The sequence below is a fragment of the Homo sapiens genome, chromosome 16, assembly GCF_000001405.40.
Source record: "Homo sapiens chromosome 16, GRCh38.p14 Primary Assembly".
NCBI lineage: Eukaryota > Metazoa > Chordata > Mammalia > Primates > Hominidae > Homo > Homo sapiens.
Genome location: NC_000016.10, coordinates 89,490,836 through 89,508,767, shown reverse-complemented (window position 1 = coordinate 89,508,767; position 17,932 = coordinate 89,490,836). Strand labels below are relative to the sequence as shown.

General features: G+C 52.2%; 1 protein-coding gene and 2 long non-coding RNA genes across 10 annotated transcripts in view, besides 6 other annotated features; 1 reads left to right on the top strand and 2 right to left on the bottom strand.

Moving 5' to 3' along the window:
- SPG7 (SPG7 matrix AAA peptidase subunit, paraplegin) overlaps positions 1-380 on the bottom strand; it is a 49,381-nt gene extending 49,001 nt beyond the window's left edge. For 5 of the 7 annotated variants that reach the window (NM_001363850.1, XM_017023598.2, XM_047434538.1 and 2 more), the window contains exon 1: positions 168-380. In NM_001363850.1, the coding sequence (NP_001350779.1) occupies positions 168-350 (183 nt within the window). In that variant the 5' untranslated portion in view covers positions 351-380. The remainder of the gene's footprint in view (positions 1-167) is intronic. The other 2 variants (NM_003119.4, NM_199367.3) reach the window with 1 other exon arrangement.
- Positions 22-581: a silencer, noted in NCBI's record as "silent region_7911". NCBI's record gives its function as "represses an Ori minimal core promoter by ATAC-STARR-seq in GM12878 lymphoblastoid cells {active_cell/tissue: GM12878}" and the evidence as "EXISTENCE:reporter gene assay evidence [ECO:0000049][PMID:35858748]".
- Positions 448-16,365, top strand: LOC101927863 (uncharacterized). Of its 2 annotated transcripts, NR_188547.1 has the most exons (5): positions 448-531; positions 2,621-2,809; positions 3,615-3,723; positions 4,457-4,561; positions 16,135-16,365. It is a non-coding gene; the product is annotated as an uncharacterized LOC101927863 (long non-coding RNA). The 2 variants fall into 2 exon arrangements; NR_188548.1 differs by lacking the exons at positions 448-531; positions 2,621-2,809 and adding an exon at positions 3,298-3,519.
- Positions 652-861: a silencer, noted in NCBI's record as "silent region_7910". NCBI's record gives its function as "represses an Ori minimal core promoter by ATAC-STARR-seq in GM12878 lymphoblastoid cells {active_cell/tissue: GM12878}" and the evidence as "EXISTENCE:reporter gene assay evidence [ECO:0000049][PMID:35858748]".
- Positions 982-1,051: a silencer, noted in NCBI's record as "silent region_7909". NCBI's record gives its function as "represses an Ori minimal core promoter by ATAC-STARR-seq in GM12878 lymphoblastoid cells {active_cell/tissue: GM12878}" and the evidence as "EXISTENCE:reporter gene assay evidence [ECO:0000049][PMID:35858748]".
- Positions 2,871-2,920: an enhancer, noted in NCBI's record as "active region_11414". NCBI's record gives its function as "activates an Ori minimal core promoter by ATAC-STARR-seq in GM12878 lymphoblastoid cells {active_cell/tissue: GM12878}" and the evidence as "EXISTENCE:reporter gene assay evidence [ECO:0000049][PMID:35858748]".
- Positions 9,486-17,798, bottom strand: LOC101930112 (uncharacterized). Its single transcript, XR_933895.4, has 2 exons — positions 17,382-17,798; positions 9,486-10,682 (listed from the first exon to the last, which is right to left on the bottom strand). It is a non-coding gene; the product is annotated as an uncharacterized LOC101930112 (long non-coding RNA).
- Positions 17,488-17,537: a silencer, noted in NCBI's record as "silent region_7908". NCBI's record gives its function as "represses an Ori minimal core promoter by ATAC-STARR-seq in GM12878 lymphoblastoid cells {active_cell/tissue: GM12878}" and the evidence as "EXISTENCE:reporter gene assay evidence [ECO:0000049][PMID:35858748]".
- Positions 17,658-17,747: a silencer, noted in NCBI's record as "silent region_7907". NCBI's record gives its function as "represses an Ori minimal core promoter by ATAC-STARR-seq in GM12878 lymphoblastoid cells {active_cell/tissue: GM12878}" and the evidence as "EXISTENCE:reporter gene assay evidence [ECO:0000049][PMID:35858748]".

Sequence of the window (17,932 nt, the reverse complement as noted above, 5' to 3'; positions counted from 1 at the left end):
CCCCAACAGTCGCTCCGCGCCGAGGTCCACAGCTGGGGGATCCGCGGGCCCACAGGCGCAGGCTCCCCCGCCGCAGGGGCCAGGCGGCCTCCGACCCGCCCCGCCGGGCTGGGCCTTACAGAGCAGAGCCGGGCGGGAGGTGGGGCCCGGACTCCGCGGGGATTTACCTGCAGAGCTCGGCCTCCAGCCTCGGCGAGGTCCCCCGGAGGCCTGCTGGCCATGTACGGCCGCCCCCTCCCGGGCCTGGCGGGGAACCCTGGACTCCAGGCCGGGCCTGGGCCCCACAGCGGCCGAGGACCCGGGCCTGGACCCCGGCGGAGGGCACGGAGCAGCAGCAGCAGCACGGCCATGTTGGCCTGAAAGCCGCGCCTGCGTGATCCGCGGGGCGCTACACGGCGCCTGCGCGGCGGGGTGGGCGGGGTCTGACGTGGCGCCTGCGCGGTCCCCACAGCTGCGCCCCGCCGCGCCCGGGTGCCGCTTGCCGCACCCCCGAGCCTGAGCCCGTCTACCTCGTGGCTGCCTGAGGCCCGGGTATGGGGGCGCGCGTCTGCGAGGAGGTCGCGGGTGCCCTGGTTTTTTTGAAGCCGGCCTTGTATTCCCAGGGCCTGGCGGGTGAATAACCGGCCGGGTCGTGGCTGCGTGGTCGTGCTCCGCCCGCGCCGAGGGGCCTCACGCCCGGGCAGCCTGCGTCACCCGCAGGGTTCGGTCACAGGCGAGGGCGGATGGTGCGGGCCGGAATCCCGCCTGCGAGTAGAGGCCCGCGCTCAGGAGGGCGGCGCCGGAGGCCTCGGGTCGGGAGGGCCCCTTCGGGTGTGAGGAGCGCAGGAAGGGGGCGGTTTTCCTGCGTCTTGAGCCGCCCGAGGACGAGGACTGAAGTTGCAGCCGCCGCAGGGAGGGCAGCCCCGGAGGAGGAGGGTCGTGAGGGAGGGAGCGCGCAGTGCGGCGCGGCCTGGCAGGCGTCTGCAGAGCTCGTCCCGCACACCTCTGACTTCGGAGCGCTCCGTCCTGTGCCTTCGGACTGGCTCACCTCGGAGGCGCTTCGAGCCTCGGTCCTGCCCCGGCCGCTGCGCGAGCCCATCGTAGGAAGCGGGGAGGCGCCGTCTGGAAGCTTAGGAAGAGGCTCTGTTCTCTTCAGGGTCCGCCCTCCGGGCCCGGGCAGGGTCCCTCGTGGGCTCCCAGGCGCGCGGGGTCCTCCGCCACCCCGACCCCTTCCTCCGTCCGCCTTAGGTCTAGAGCTGACGCCAAGAGCTGGAAAGCTTGTTGAGTAGGAAAAGCAAAGACTAGATGGTCTGTCACAGAGGTAGGATGAGGGTGACCTATTTATTTTTATGCTTTTCTGTACTCCGCAAATTCGTAACAGTGAATGCCAGTGACGACAGCCAACATCACCGAGTGCCTAGCTCCGTGTCGAACACCCATGTAATATTCACAACCCTGTGCAGCGAATACAATACCTCTATTTTACATGTAAAGAAAGATTCAGAAGTATTAAAAGTAACCTGCCTAGGATTACAGCTCTGAAGTTAGGGCAGAATTTCAAGGCCGGTCTGGTTTGTTTCTGGACCTGCACTCACTCCACCACTACAGACGAGGTTGCAAAGCCAGTGGGCTGCGTGTAATCCTCCCTCTTCCTCAGCCCCGAGACGCTCAGGAAAGTGTTTTCAGTTATCGTGGTTATCCGCCCTCAGCCCTCCAGTGGGCCGGGTGCCTCGGCAGAGGTGCTCGGGGCTGGGGAGGTGTTCTGTTGGTTTGTGGAGAGGACCTTCCCCTACACCCAGGGCTGACACTGATTTTCACAACTGAACCGCTTTTCCTTTTGCTTCTTATTGTACAGTCAGCCTTCGCAGTGAATCCAACCTTGCCGTTTCCTCCTCCACTATTTTTTCTTTCCCTGATTGAAAGACACCAGGTGGGCCGGGCGCGGTGCCCTCCCCCTCCCTCTCCCTGCCCTTCATCCCAGCACTTTGGGAGGCCAAGGCGGGCGGACCACGAGGTCAGGAGATCGAGACCATCCTGGCTAACACGGCGAAACCCCGTCTCTACTAAAAATACGAAAAATTAGCCGGGCGCTGTGGCGGGCGCCTGTAGTCCCAGCTACTCGGGAGGCTGAGGCAGGAGAATGGCGTGAACCCGGGAGGCGGAGCTTGCAGTGAGCCGAGATCCCGCCACTGCACTCCAGCCTGGGCGACAGAGCGAGACTCCATCTCAAAAAAAAAAAAAAAGGTCACAAATCCTCTGAACGCACAGGCATAAAGGGTTGTGGGGCTCGGTCACTTCCTAGAACACAAAAAACCCTTTCGGAAGTTTGGTTGGGTTGGTCACGGGACAAGGCTGGAGAGAGGGTGAGGGCACACATTTGGATGTGTTTGGGAGGAGTTTAAGTGTAGTCCTATTAATATTGTTTGAGATAAGTTAAAATTGTTTCCTGGCAATTCATCAGAAGCAGTGTGGGGTGTTGGCAAGAGGCCTCCTCTGGGGAAAGAACACTGGGTTCTGTCTCCTCTGGCCTATGACCTTAAGCAAGTTATTAGCTTCCTCAAGCCTCAATCTTCTCAGCGGTAAAATGGGGATGATAATTATCTGCAAAGCAAGGCTAATATCAGCCTTGGGTTTCCCACAGGGTGGTTATGAAGATAAAATGCAATAAATGTGTGTGAGGGCAACTGACGAGCCAGGAAGCCTTGGCATCCAGAGTTATTACTGGGACGTCATGGGAAATGAGGATATGGGAACAGAGTATTTATGCATTTATTCAAACTCATCTCTAACAACCGTGCTTTGAAGGCTGGCTGCATCCCAGGCCCTACAGGTGAACCGTGACTCTCAGCTCTCAGCTTCAGCCCCTGCTGTAGTGGCGGCAGCAGCAGAGGCTCACGTAGCCTCAAGCAGTAGGGGTTTTGTTTAAGGATTCGGGTGCCCCATGGTTTGGGGGTTTTGTTTTTATTTTGCTGCATGATTTGGATTCAAGAAGAAGGATCTGTAGGACAGTGGGCTCCCGGGTCTGCCTTTGCCCTCATAGCCTGCAGCAGAGCAGGACGTTCGCTTTCCCTTCTCCGCCTGTGTGTTCTTCCTGCACTGCCTAACTGCTGCTTGCTCATTTGTGCTTCCGTGTCACCCCTCCTCAGCCCTCTGAACTCTGCACGTCAGGACTTGGCACACTTCCTAACTGCTGCTTACTCATTTGTACTTCCGCGTCACCCCTCCTCAGCCCTCTGAACTCTGCGCTTGGACTTGGTGTGACTTCCCTTCCCCGCCTATTCTCTAGAGGCAGTCTCTTGGTGACTCCTGGTTTGGGTCAGGGCACGCCTTAGGTCTCTGGATGGCTACCAACCCCAGGTTCCCTCAGCTCTAGCCCCATAAGAGAGGAGGCCTCAGGAGCGCCTAGGGCAGCCCTTTCAGCCTGGGCTGTGGGAAGGGAAGGTGGACAGAGAGGAGACCCCATGCCTTTGTTCCCTGTTGATGCAGAAGCATTCTAGGCTCTGTCCCTTATTCCTGCTGTGGGCTGAAGCTTCAGGCAAGGTGCTCTACAAACTTCAGTTGCCTCATCTATCAAACAGTAACGTTTAACATTCCAGAGACAGAAGTTGATCTTTGGGACTTTTTTTGATTTTAAGATCTAGGCTGGCTGGGGCGGTGGCTCATGCCTGTAATCCCAGCACTTTGAGAGGCCGAGACCGGTGGATCACGAGATCATCAGGAGATGAGACCATCCTGGCTAACATGGTAAAACCCAGTCTCTACTAAAAATAGAAAAAATTAGCCGGGCACGGTGGCAGGTGCCTGTAATCCCAGCTACTTGGGAGGCTGAGGCAGGAGAATCGATTGAATCTGGGAGGCAGAGACTCCATCTGAAAAAAAAAAAAAAAGATCTAGGCTTCTGGCTGGGTGCTATGTCCCACGCCTGTAATCCCAGCACTTTGGGAGGGCAAGGCAGGTGGATCACTTGAGGTCAGGAGTTCAAGACCAGCCTAGCCAACACGGCGAAACTCTCTTTCTACTAAAAATACAAAAAAATTAGCCAGGCACGGTGGCAACATGCCTGTAGTTCCAGCTACTCGAGAGGCTGAGGCATGAGAATCGCTTGAACCTGGGAGGTGGAGGCTGCAGTGAGTTAAGATCTTGCCACTGCACTCCAGCCTCAGTGATGAGTGAGACCCTGTCTTTTTTTTTATGAGACAAGGTCTCACTCTGTTGCCCAGGCTGAAGTACAGTGGTGCGATCTCAGCTCACTGCAGCCTCTGCCTCCCAGCTTCAAGCGATTCTCCTGCCTTAGCCTCTCGAGTAGCTGGGATGACAGGCATGAGCCATCGCGCCAGGCCAAGACTGTCTCAAAAAAAAAAAAAAAAAAATCTAGGCTTCCTTATTAATATCTGAACAAATAATTACATATTTGCTTCTTTCCAAATTTGGCAGCAACTAAACTTAAAAATTTTTTTAAGTACATTTGCTTTTGCAGTTAGCCTGGCCTCCAGAGCTCTTGGACTGCAGCACCCATAATGATGGCCAAAGCCGCCCCCACGGCGACTCCTCCTGCTGAAGCAAAGTCAGGCAGAACAATAAGGTATGTGTTGAATATGAGGATGTCTTACATAAAACATGTTACCTTGTGGAATGCTTGAAAATAAACGAGTTCATCTCTGTAAATTTTAGTACATTTTCTTCCTGAAGCTCTTTCTTAGGAAACAGTTTCTTCTTATATCACTTGTTAACTGGGCTTTACTCATCCATGTAGAACCAGATTTTATTCTTCTTTAAAAGATGGGGCTGGGCGTGGTGGCTCACGCCTGTAATCCCAGCACTTTCGGAGGCCGAGGTGGTTGGATCTGGATTACCTGAGGTCAGGAGTTGGAGACCGGCCTGGCCAACATGGTGAAACCTCATCTCTACTAAAAATACGAAAATTAGCTGGGTGTGGTGGCAGGCGCCTGTAATCCCAGCTACTCAGGAGGGAGACTGAGGCAGGAGAATCGCTTGAACCCGGGAGGTGGCGGTTGTGGTGAGCCGAGGTCGCGCCACTGCACTCCAGCCTGGGCAACAGAGTGAGACTCCGTCTCAAAAAAAAAAAAAAAAAAAAAAAAAAAAATGCTGGGCACCGTGGCTCACGCCTGTAATCCCAGCACTCTGGGAGGCCGAGGGTGGGTGGATCATCTGAGGTCAGGAGTTGGGAGACTATCCTGGCCAACATGGTGAAACCTCCTCTCTACTAAAAATACGAAAATTAGCTGGGTGTGGTGGCAGGCGCCTGTAACCCCAGCTACTTGGGAGGCTGAGGCAGGAGAATCGCTTGAACCCAGGAGGTGTTGGTTGAAGTGGGCCGAGATCGCATCGCGTCACTGCACTCCAGCCTGCGCGACAGAGTGAGACTCCACCTCAAAAAAAAAAAAAAGGGTGGGCGGATCACCTGAGGTCTGGAGATTGAGACCAGCCTGACCAACATGGAGAAACCCCGTCTCTATAAAAATACAAAATTAGCCAGGCGTGGTGGCACATGCCTGTAATCCCAGCTACTCTGGAGGCCGACCGAGGCAGGAGAATGGCTTGAACCCGGGAGGTGGAGTTTGCTGTGAGCTGAGATCGCGCCATCGTACTCCAGCCTGGGCAACAAGAGCAAAACTCCGTCTCAAAAAAAAAAAAAAGAAAAGAAGATGGAAAGTTCATTCCTTTTTTTTTTTTCTTTTCTTGAGACAGAGTTTTGCTTGTTGCCCAGGCTGGACTGCAATGGCTCGATCTCGGCTCACCACAACCTTCACCTCCCGGGGTTCAAGCGATTCTCCTGCCTCAGCCTCCCAAGTAGCTGGGATTATAGGCATGTGCCACCACGCCCGGCTAATTTTGTATTTTTAGTAGAGACGGGGTTTCTCCATGTTGGTCAGGGTGGTTTCAAACTCCCGACCTGAGGTGATCCACCTGTCTCGGCCTCTCAGGGTGCTGGGATTACAGGCGTGAGCCAACACGCCTGGCGGAAAGTCCGTTTCTACTAGCAAGAAACCTGTACAGGAATTTGAGCATGACTAAATAATCATGTATTCCTCAGCGTTTCTTTAGATTGTTGGGTGTGGGACTTTGGGCAGGTGTTTAAGGACCTGGAAGGGACAGCCTATGTCCTCTCCACGTGACGGGAATCCCCACGGCCCTGGGCAGTGCATTCCGAGTTCGCCAACGTGGCAACTTAAAACAACAAATGCTTATCTCACTCTGTTTCTGAGGGTCAGGAATCTGGGAGTGGCTCGACTGGACCGTTTAGTCTCTTGGACTGGACAAGCTTGCAGTCCGACTAACTGATGGCCAGGGTGTGGCCAGTTGGGAGGGGGCAGGTAGCAGGGGAGTGGGGAGCGGCCAGGGAATGCTGGAGAGTCCGAGGGGGAGTGCTGCTGAGGACTAATAAAGTCTGTGGTAAAAGCATGACTGGCTGCTGAGAGAATGGACTCTAGAGAGGCCAGAGGTGGGAATGTGAGGCCAGGGAGGAGGGAGGCTTTTGCAGCAGTGCCAGAAGGTAAGGATCCTGGCAGGACCGAGGCATGGGGCTGGTTCTCCCAGAGGATCCAGTAAAGCCTGGGGTGTCTTGGTGCCCACTCTGGGCTGCGTTCTCTGATCTGCAGCGCCAGGAAGAGAGAAGCCAGCAGAGGCCAGCATGTGGCTGCTGGTGGCCCAGCTGCTGAGGGCGATGAGGGTGAGTCTCCAGACCGGCCTCTGAAACGCCAGGACAGGGCCGCAGACACCAGGCTCAGTGTGGACATGGAGCAGGAGGAGGGCTTTCTTTTTGTTGTAACTTAAAGGGCTGGTTTGACAAGGAACAGGTGGTCATTTCATTTTTTTTTTTTTTTGAGATGGAGTCTTGCTCTATTGCCCAGGCTGGAGTGCAGTGGCTCAATCTCGGCTCACTGCAAGCTCCGTCTCCCGGGTCACGCCATTCTCATCTCAGCCTCCCGAGTAGCTGGGGCTACAGGCGCCTGCCAGCACGCCCGGCTAATTTTTTTCTATTTTTAGTAGAGATGGGGTTTCACCGTGTTAGCCAGGATGGTCTCGATCTCCTGACCTCCTGATCCACCCGCCTCTGCCTCCCAAAGTCCTGGGATTACAGGCGTGAGCCACCGTACCCAGCTACAGGTAGTCATTTCTACATAAAATCCGAACCCCGGCTGGCCCACTTCAGACCTCCTCACCTCGCGGACCCATGGACAAACAGAACCACATGAGTGGACTTGGGCTGGTGCTGGGATTTTCCTGGGGTGCTTTCAGCAGCCTTCCAGAGACCAGCATGCCTTTCTGGTTTCTGGAACGCTCAGTGAGCTTTGGCTGGGGAGCACAAGGGCTGATCAGGTTAAGTTCAAGATTATCTGGAGATGGACAGGTACTTTTGCTTTATACACACCTTGAAACCTTGAACGAAAGCATGCAGTTTGGGTTTACCATCCCCGTCCCTGCTGTGTATTTTTTTTTTTTTTTTTTGAGACGGAATTTTGCTCTGTCATGCAGGCTGGAGTGCAGTGGCGCGATCTCGGCTCACTGCAACCTCCGCCTCGCGAGTTGAAGCAATTCTCCAACCTCAGCCTCCCAAGTAGCTGGGACTACAGGCACGCGCCACCATGTCTGGCTAATGTTCTGTATTTTTAGTAGAGATGGGTTTTCACCATGTTAGCGAGGATGGTCTTGATCTCCTGACCTCATGATCCGCCCACCTTGGCATCCCAGAGTGCTGGGAGCCACCACACCCGGCCTGTCCCTGTTGTTTTATGTTTTTTTTTTTTTTTTTTTTTGAGACGGAGTCTCGCTCTGTCGCCCAGGCTGGAGTGCAGTGGCGGGATCTCGGCTCACTGCAAGCTCTGCCTCCCGGGTTCACGCCATTCTCCTGCCTCAGCCTCCCAAGTAGCTGGGACTACAGGCGCCCGCCACTACGCCCGGCTAATTTTTTGTACTTTTAGTAGAGACGGGGTTTCACCGTTTTAGCCGGGATGGTCTCGATCTCCTGACCTCGTGATCCGCCCGCCTCGGCCTCCCAAAGTGCTGGGATTACAGGCGTGAGCCACCGCGCCCGGCCTGTTTTATGTTTTATTTAGGTTGACAGTTTATTTACTTCAGCCCTAAGGCAGTCCTATATGAAGTTACAGTTTCGTAAACAGAACAGATGAAATAGAACAAACTCGATAGACTACGTTTGCAACACTTTACCGGTAAAGGGAAGAACCAAAGCACTTGTCCAGGAGGATATGGGCTAAGCAACACCGTTACTCCACGAGGCCCAGAGGAGCTGGCCTCCCTGCAGCATGGGGACTGTGCATGGGACCACTGAGGAATGATTGACAGTAATTTAAAACTAAAACTCAGGAACAGCCAGTAGCATTTCTATATTTAACTCATACAAAATATATTCTTTAATGTTTCTGAAAAAAATTTAAAGTTGCAAAGTAAAACTGGGTTTCAGTAACAAAATGTATTAATTCATATGACACTGAGCACCTATGCTCTCCCTGTGTTGTTTTGTTTTTCCAAGATGGGGTCTTGCTCTGTTTCCAGGCTGGAGGACAGTGGCATGATCACGGCTCACTGCAGCGTTGGCCTCCTGGGCTCAGGCAAGCCTCACACCCAGCTAAGTTTTTACTTTTGGTAGCGTTGAGGTCTTGCTATGTTGCCTGGGCTAGTCTCAACTTCTGGCCTCAAACAATCCTCCCACCTCAGCCTCCCACAATAACTCCTGCTCATTAACATATGAAACATTATCTGTTAAATTTCCTGGAAATGTTATTAATATCTTCTGGCTGGGTGCAGTGGCTCATGCCTGTTAACCCAGCAATTTGGGAGGCAAAGGCAGAAGGATTGCTTGAGCCCAGGAGTTTGAGACCAGCCTGGGCAACATGGTGAGACCCTGTCTGCACAAAAAAAGAAAAAAAAAAATAGCTGGGGGTGGTGGCGTGTACCTCTAGTCCCAGCTACTCCGGAGGCTGAGGTGGGAGGATTGCTTTAGCCTGGGAGGTCAAGGCTGTAGTGAGCCTTGATTTTGCCACTGTACCCCAGACTAGGTGATAGAGACCTTATTTCAAAAAAAACCCAAAAAACAAAAAAAACCTATTTTTCCAGACAAAGGTATCTGTGATTTTATGCATTTTAAAAGGGAACTTGTCATATGAGACTCATGGCTCACACCTATAATCCCAGCACTTTGGGAGGCTGAGGCAGGTGGATCACCCGAGGTCAGGAGTTTGAGACCAACCTGGCCAACATGGTGAAACCCCCGTCTCTACTAAAAATAGGAAAATTAGCCAGGCATGGTGGCGGGTGCCTGTAATCCCAGCTACTGAGGAGGCTGAGGCAGGAGAATCGCTTGAACATGGGAGGTGGAGGTTGCAGTGAGCTGAGATGGCGCCACTGCACTCCAGCCTGGGCGACAGAGCGAGACTCTGTCTCAAAAAAAATAAAAAATAAATAAGAATCCCTTGCAAGCCCTCTCTAGCTGAGACGTCCTAAAGTACTGTTAAGGATTTGAGAAATGTGTTATTAAACCTTTATTGAATTCAGCACTAGTAAGAAGTTCTGAATTGGCCATCCTGTAGTATAAGCATTATAGTTATTCCCAGAACTGGCCCAGCCAGGGGATGGCTGTCATGACGGCTTTAACCACATAACTCAGCTTAATTCCCAAGGGCCGATTTCCAGGGATAGAAGGAGCCTCCATGGCCCGTAAATCTTCGGCTGCTTCCCAAATCCAAGGAGCAGCTGGAGAGAGTACTGTGTCACGCACCGGATACAACCACACACAGGAGTTTCTGGTACATCATGTGCCAGTTACACATCCACAAGGCAGAGACTGGAGTCCTTGCTGGGACAGCGTTTGAGGTCCGTTCTGTTTCCTCCCTGCTACTGCAGCAGTGCTTGGAACCGTGTCTCCACACAGCAGGCCCTGAAACCTTTGCTGAATGAGTGCACGATTAATTTTCTCAGCTAAGTCCCTGCTTTCTGCAGTCTGCAATTCATTACATAAAATACATCAGGCAGTATTATGACAGCCTTATTACGAAAAAGTCCTGAGAAGTTTTCTTTTTTTTTTTGAGATGGAGTCTCGCTCAGCAGTGCGGTGATCTAGGCTCACGGCAACCACCGTCTCCCGGGTTTCACCATGTTGACCAGGCTGGTCTTGAACTTCTGACCTCAGGTGATCCGCCCACCTTGGCCTCCCAAAGTGCTAAGATTACAGGCATGAGCCACCGCGCCCGGCGACTTTTTTTTTTTTTTTTTTTTTTTTTTTTTTTTTTTTTTACTCCCAAGCTTCCCAGTTGGATTGTAAATATGTAATTTGTGATATATTGACAAAAAAACACATCATATATTTAGACTTTAAAATGACACCAAAACGGATAGGGCTATAATTAGGCAATAAAAAGAAATAAAAGGTACAGGCTGGGCGTGGTAGCTTATGCCTGTGATCTTAATACTTTGGGAGGCTGAGGCAGGAGGGTTGAGTGAGCCCAGGAGTTTGAGGCTGCAGTGAACTCCAGCCTGGGTGACGGAGCAAGACCCCATCTCTAAAAATAATAAAAAAATAAAAAAAAATTAAAATAAAGGAAATAAAAAGTGCATGTTGTGGAGGTGCTCGCCTATAGTCTCAGCTACTTGGGAGGCTGAGGTAGAAGGCTCCTTCGAGCCTAGGAGTTTAAGACCAGCCTGGGCAACACAGTGACAACTAATCTCTGAAAAACAAAAAGAGAAGAAAAGCAATAAAAGACACGTAAATTGCAAAGGAAGAATTAAAAGTATCTCTGTAGGTAATATGACTTTTTAAAATTCTAGCTGTTTACTTTTTTTTTTTTTTTTGAGACAGTGTCTTGCTCTGTCGCCCAGGCTGGAGTGCAATGGCGCGATCTACGCTCACTGCAACCTCCGCCTCCAGGGCTCAAGGGATTCTCCCGCCTCAGCCTCCGGAGTAGCTGGGATTACAGGCGCCTGCCACCACGCCCAGCTAATTTTTTGTATTTAGTAGAGATGGGGTTTCACCATGTTGGTCAGGCTGGTCTAACTCCTGACCTCAGGTGATCCGCCCGCCTCAGCCTCCCAAAGTGCTGGGATTACAGGTATGAGCCACTGTGCCCGGCTAAAAGCTGGACTTTAATTTAATTAATTAATTAATTAATTTATTTTTTGAGACAGTTTTGTTCTTGTTGCCCAGGCTGGAGTGCAATGGCGCGATCTCGGCTCACAGCAACCTCCGCCTGCCGGGTTCAAGCCATTCTCCTGCCTCAGCCTCCGGAGTAGCTGGGATTACAGGCATTCACCACGACGCCCAGCTAATTTTGTATTTGTAGTAGAGACGGGGTTTCTCCATGTTGGTCAGGCTGGTCTCAAACTCTGGACCTCAGGTGATCCACCCGCCTTGGCCTCCCAAAGTGCTGGGATTACAGAAGTCAGCCACCACGCCCGGCCACAATTTAATTTTATTTATTTAGAGACAAGGTCTCGTGCTCATCTCCTAGGCTGGAGCACGACGGCGCGATCTCAGCTCACTGCAACCTCCGCCTCCCCGGTTCAAACAACTCTCTCACCTCAGCCTCCCAAGTAGCTGGGATTACAGGCATGTGCCACCGTGCCTGGCTAATTTTTCTATTTTGAGTACAGACAGGGTTTCACCACGTTGGCCAGGCTGGTCTCGAACTCCCGAACTCAGGTGATCTGCCCGCCTAGCCCTCCCAAAGTGCTGGGATTACAGGCATGAGCCACTGCACTCGGCCCTAATATGACTTTTTAAAAGTTGGCTGGCCGCGGTGGCTCATGCCTGTAATCCCAGCACTTTGGGAGGCCAAGGTGGGCAGATCACCTGAGGTCGGGAGTTTGAGACCAGCCAGACTAACCTGGAGAAACCCAGTCTCTACTCAAAATAAAAAAATTAGCGGGGCAAGGTGGTGGGTGCCTGTAATCCCAGTTACTCGGGCAGCTGAGGCAGGAGAATGACTTGACCCCGGGAGTCGGAGGTTGTGGTGAGCTGAGATCAAGCCACTGCACTCCAGCCTGGGTGACAGAGCGAGACTCTGTCTCAAATTAAAAAAAAAAGCCAGGCCCTGTGGCTCACACCTGTAATCTCAGCACTTTGGGAGTCCGAGGCAGGTGGATCACGAGGTCAGGAGATGGAGACCATCCTGGCCAACATGGTGAAACCCCGTCTCTACTAAAAAACAAAAAAATTAGCCGGGTGTGGTGGTGTATGCCTATAGTGCCAGCTACTCGGGAGGCCGAGGCAGGGGAATTGCTTGAACCCGGGAGGCAGAGATTGCAGTGAGCCAAGATCATGCCACTGCACTGCAGCCTGGACGACAGAGGGAGACTCTGTCTCAAAAAAAAAAAAAAAAAAAAAAAAAAAACTAGCTTTTTACCTTTTTTCAATACATTTTATATATATTTGAGGTTTACAACATGATGTTATGAGGCTGGGCACGGTGACTCACGCCTGTGAGCCCAGCACTTTGGGAGGCCGAGGTTGGGGGACTGCTTGAGGCCAGGAGTTCGAGACCAGCCTCACAACACAGTGAGCCCCCAGTCTCTAAAAATAAAAAATTTTAAATTAGCTAGGTGTGGTGAGTCACACCTGTGGTCCCAGCTACTCAGGAGGCTGAGCTGGGAGGATCCCTTGAGCCCAGGAATTTAAGGTTACAGTGAGTCTTGGTCATACTATTGCAGTCCAGCCTGGGGGACAGAATGAGACCCCGTCTCTAAAAAAAAAGGAAAAACAAAAACAACAACAACAAAAAAGAAAGACGGTACATTTCATGTTATGTGTATTTTACCACAATAAAAATTGGGGATAAAATAGAACAGAAAATAGTATTTGACAATAGACACTGCAATTGATAGGGCTACCGACAAAGTACGGAGTTTAGAGTTTTAAAAATTGGCCGGGCGTGGTGGCTCACACCTGTAATCCCAGCACTTTCGGAAGCTGAGGTGGGTGGATCACCTGAGGTCAGGAGTTCGAGACCAGCCTGACCCATATGGTGAAACCTCGTCAATACTAAAAATACAAAAATTAGCCAGGCGTGGTGGCGGGCGCCTGTAATCCCAGCTACTCGGGCAGCTGAGGCAGGTTGATTGCTTGAACCCAGGAGGTGGAAGCTGCAGTGAGCCAAGATCACGCCACTGCACTCCAGCCCGGGCAACAGAGCTAGACTCTGTCTCAAAAAAAAAAAAAAAAAAATTTGGGGTGTAGCTTAATGGACCCGAGGTCAGGGGCTCCAAGAATATCTGAATATCGTTTCATCCCACAGCACCTCCTGCCTTTGAGATCTGGAAGGTGATACCCCACAGTTATGGTAACTGGGAAGCAAGACACATCACAATTTATTGTGAAATGAGCTTGGGTTCCAAATCCTAAAGCTAGGAATGCTGGTAAGCTGGGGCTGACCACAGAGCTGAGGCCAGGCCTGCTGGACTCAGACTGAGCTGTCAGTTCTCACCACAGGGCCAGGGGGAGGGGGCAGAAGGGAAAGGCCAGAGGTGGGCCTGCTCCGCCCGTTTCTGCCACTTCTGGAGAAGAGGAAGCAGAAAGAATGCAGGGGGCTGGGCTGCCTCCCTTTACCATGACCTCTGGCTCATCTGTAAGGAAGGGGCAGAGGGTCCCACTGTGCACGCAGTTGCTGGTGGGTCCACAGCAGAGAGTGGGGTGTCATGCGGGAGCAGGACTGTGGAGTAGCTTTGCAAGCCTTTACTTAGGGGCAAAATGATGTCTGCACATCCCTTCCCAGAAGGGTGGCTGTCCAACACTGCCTGGCGCTGGGCTCTTCCCCATGAGCGTACCAGATCTGGGAGAGCATCGTCAGAGGCAGTGCCTGAGTGTTTGGCTACACAAAACAGCACCGGGTCTTTCCTGGAGCCACATGTGGCTGATGTTCAATGAACAATTAGCTTGTTTCAGGGAAGAGAGACACCTGAGAATTTAAGAGCTTTTTGTTGGGGACTTAGTCGGGTTCACAGCTCAATCTACAGCTCCTGGGTCAGTAAGTGCTAAGTGATAGGCCCCGAATCAATGTTTGCTGAATGAATTCAAGAGCTCAGGGTGGGGTGGGGTGAGTTATAGTAAACACAGTTGCAAGCAGCAATGGAGGCATCCCGGGATGGGCACTGTAAGGACCAGGCCTTACTGAGGAGGCTGGGATGCTCTGGAGATACAAGATGACTCCAGGAGTGTTTTTCATAGATGGCACCTGGACCACCTTGGGTGCACACTTTTTTTTTGAGATGGAATTTTGCTTTTGTAGCCCAGGCCTCTGCCTCCAGGGTTCAAACGATTCTCCTGCCTCAGCCTCCCGAGTAGCTGGTATTACAGGTGCCTGCCATCACACCCAGCTAATTTTTGTATTTTTAGTAGAGACAGTGTTTCAACATGTCAGCTAGGCTGGCCTCGAACTGCTGACCTCAGGTGATCCACCCGCCTCAGCCTTCCAAAGTGCTGGGATGACAGGCATGAGCCACCGCGCCCGGCCGGGTGCACACTTCTGAATCTCACTCCAGATCTACTCAATCAGAATCTCTAGAGTGGGGCCCAGGGAACAGCGTTAAAGGACACAAGCATCCTGGCCAACTATTTGAGCATGCCCCCCACAGGGGCTCCAGATCAGGGTTTTGTAGATCTGAGAGGTTTTCTTTGGCCCACAGAATGTTTTACAAATTAATTGCCCTTAATGAAATGTCCCATAAAAATTTAATTTCCAGGTTGGAGAATGTGGCAATGCTGGTTCTCCAGCAGCTGTCACCATGGCCCCTTGGGGCTGTGCTGGCCACCTGGCCCTCCCCGGCCTCTCTGCATCCTCCTGTTGCTCTGTTTCTACTCAAACTACTGCCACAGTTTCCCACTTGGCCTCACTTCCTTCATGCTGTTTCCAGGCTGATGTTGTAAAATAGGAATCTGATCTTCAGGCCTCGCGTTGGAAACCTTCACTGGTGCCCTGCTGCTATTAGGCCAAGGAGCACTGCTGCACCCCGATGGCCTCCCTGCTCCTGCTTCCGTCTGGCTGTGTCTCCGGTTTCTGTTGCTGCGCCCCTCATGTCCTGTACCCATCACCCACGCAGGAGGTGCAAAGAACATCTCAGACTTTAAGTGCACAAAACTAAACTCTTTTTTCACCCAAACCGGCATCTTCCTTAAAGCTCTCTTCCAGACAATGCTAACCTCACCCTGGACCCTTCTTTTACAGCCCACAAAACCTTGCCGACTGTCTTCAGTCCAACCGTGGCTCTCTACTCCATCTGCACTGCTGTCTCTGTGCGTTCATCATCTCACAGCCATCCTTTCATGCAAGTTGGACCATCGCCCACCTTCCCACAACCCTCTGACGGCTTACCTTTTTCCTCAGGATAAAATCCCAACTCCTTTTTTTTTTTGAGATGGAGTCTCGCTCTGTTGCCCAGGCTGGAGTGCAATGGCGTGATCTCGGCTCACTGCAGCCTCTGCCTCCCGGATTCAAGTGATTCTCCTGCCTCAGCCTCCGGAGTAGCTGGGATTACAGGCGCACGCCACCACGCCCGGCTAATTTTTGTATTTTTAGTAGAGACGGGGTTTCACCATGTTGGCCAGGCTGGTCTCAAACTCCTGACCTCAAGTGATCTGCCTGCCTTGGCCTCCCAAAGTGCTGGGATTACAGGCGTGAGCCACTGCACCTCACCTCAAAGATTTTCTCTTTTTCTTGAGACGAAGTCTCATTCTGTCGCCCAGGCTGGAGCGCAGTGGCGCGATCTCGGCTCACTGCAACCTCCGCCTCCCGAGTTCAAGAGATTCTCCTGCCTCAGCCTCCTGAGCAGCTGGGACTACAGGCACCCGCCACCACCACACCCAGCTAATTTTTGCATATTTTTAGTAGAGATGGGGTTTCACCATATTGGCCAGACTGGTCTCGAACTCCTGATCTCATGATTCACCCGCCTCGGCCTCCCAAAGTGCTGGGATTACAGGCATAAGACACCGCGCCTGGCCAAGATTTTCTAATTAGTGCATTTCCTGGCTCCTTTCCCTTTACTCTGCATTTCTTTTCTCTACCATACACGTTCTACTTCTGTCGAAATTCAGTTTGCTTTTACCTTAGTGTATTTTCAGATTCTGTTTCGAAGGCCAACTGCCTGCTTACTCATATTAATATTTTGCACTTTAAATTCCCCTGATAGATGAGCATGGTGGTGCAGGCCTGTAATCTCAGCTCCTCAGGCGGGAGGATCACTTGATCCCCGGAAGTTTGAAGCTGGACTGCGCTGACCGCACCTGTGAATACCACTGCCCGTCAATCAGCCTAGGGGAAACATTCTCGAGTGCGAGCATGACGGCTTAGGTTGATGTTTTTCAAATTTTCCCAATGATGAGTATTGTAAGGGACCAAAATAAAAAAATGCCAATGCCTAGTCCCCTCTCATCTAGAATAATTCCATAGGTGATGATGGGGTCCAGGACTCTGAATTTCGTCAATTTTACCAAATACTTCGTCCAGTGAGGCAAATATGGAAACACTTGGATCACCTCTTCGTGAACGCACATCAGCGCATACGCCGGCTGTTTTTATCAGGCGCTCACCCCTCATCCAATGGCGTGACTAGTTGTGGGTGGAGCCCGAAATCTGGCTGCCTAGAGAAGGCTGAAGGTCCAGTTATAGCATAACTAATGTTTCCCCAGAGCTCACATACGTGCCAAGCACCGTGCTACAGCCTCCACAGCCCCTTCATTTAATCTTCCCGATGGGCCTATGAAATAGGTGCTCCTGGCCCGCACCGTGGCTCATGCCTCTAATCCCAGCACTTTGGGAAGCTGAGGAGGGAGGGTCGCTTGAGTCCAGGATTTCAAGACCAGCCTGGGAAACACACAGAGAGCCTATCTCTACGAAAATTTAAAAAATTAGCCGGGTGTGGTGATGCCTGACTGTGGTCCCACCTACTTAGTAGGCTAAGGTGGGAGGATCCTCTGAGCCCGGGAAGCTGAGGCTGCAGTTAGCACTGCACTCCAGCATGGGCGACAGAGTGAGACCCTGACTCAAAAAAAAAAAAAAAAAAGAATAGGTGCTACTTGTAGTTCCCATTTTACCCACCAAGAAACTGAAGATCTGAGAGACAAAGCCTACAGGGTGACCGCTAGTCACTGGTAGGGCTGGGATTTGAACAGGGGCGGTTTAACAACTGATCTCTCGACCATAATGCGTGTTGCCCAAGAAAAAAGACCGTCCTCACGGTCCTATCCACTCCGGACTTTGCAATTCCGTTATTTCGTAAATTGAGGCCTATAAATAGTTTGCTTACCCGTTGTCTTAGTCCCCAGTAACATGCAGAACTAAAGAAGAAACTGAAGGAGCACCGATTTTGTTCACCTTGCTTTTTGGTTTAGTTCTGGAGGAGAACACAGGTGCACTTAGAACAGGATCCACACTTACCAGAGGCTTGATTCATTTTAGCTGCAAAGAAAACCAGTCCTCGTCTACCTTTTTCGCGTGTTGGAGAACTAACTAGCAAGGCAGGGAATGCGGTTCGTGGGCGCTTGGCCTCCTCAAGCGGCTCAGGCTCTCAGAGCGCGAGGCCCAGGGGCTCTGGAGCCGCGGCCGCGACGCGCCCGAGGGCCGTTCTCTTCGACGGCAGAGCAAGAGTCACCGCGCGGGAGCCCCGAGCGACCGCCCCGCTGCCCCGGTACCCTCCCCTCGCAGCCGCCCAGAGCTCTTCATGCCCCGTGACGCCCGTTAGGGCAGCGCGGCCGGAGGCCGGGCCGGACGTGGCCCGAGATGTCCGGGGGCAGGCAGAAGACCACGGGCACGCGACAGGCAACCGCCGCCTCGGCTCTAGAGGTGGACGTTTTGTCTCCCTGCGCTTCAATACCAGATTTTGTTTCCAGACGACATCCCTGTTGCTTCCGGCACTTGGAAAGACCAATCGTCAGGCCCGAGAATGCAAGACCCACCCTCCTTTGCGACGGAGGCAGCCAATCCAGTTG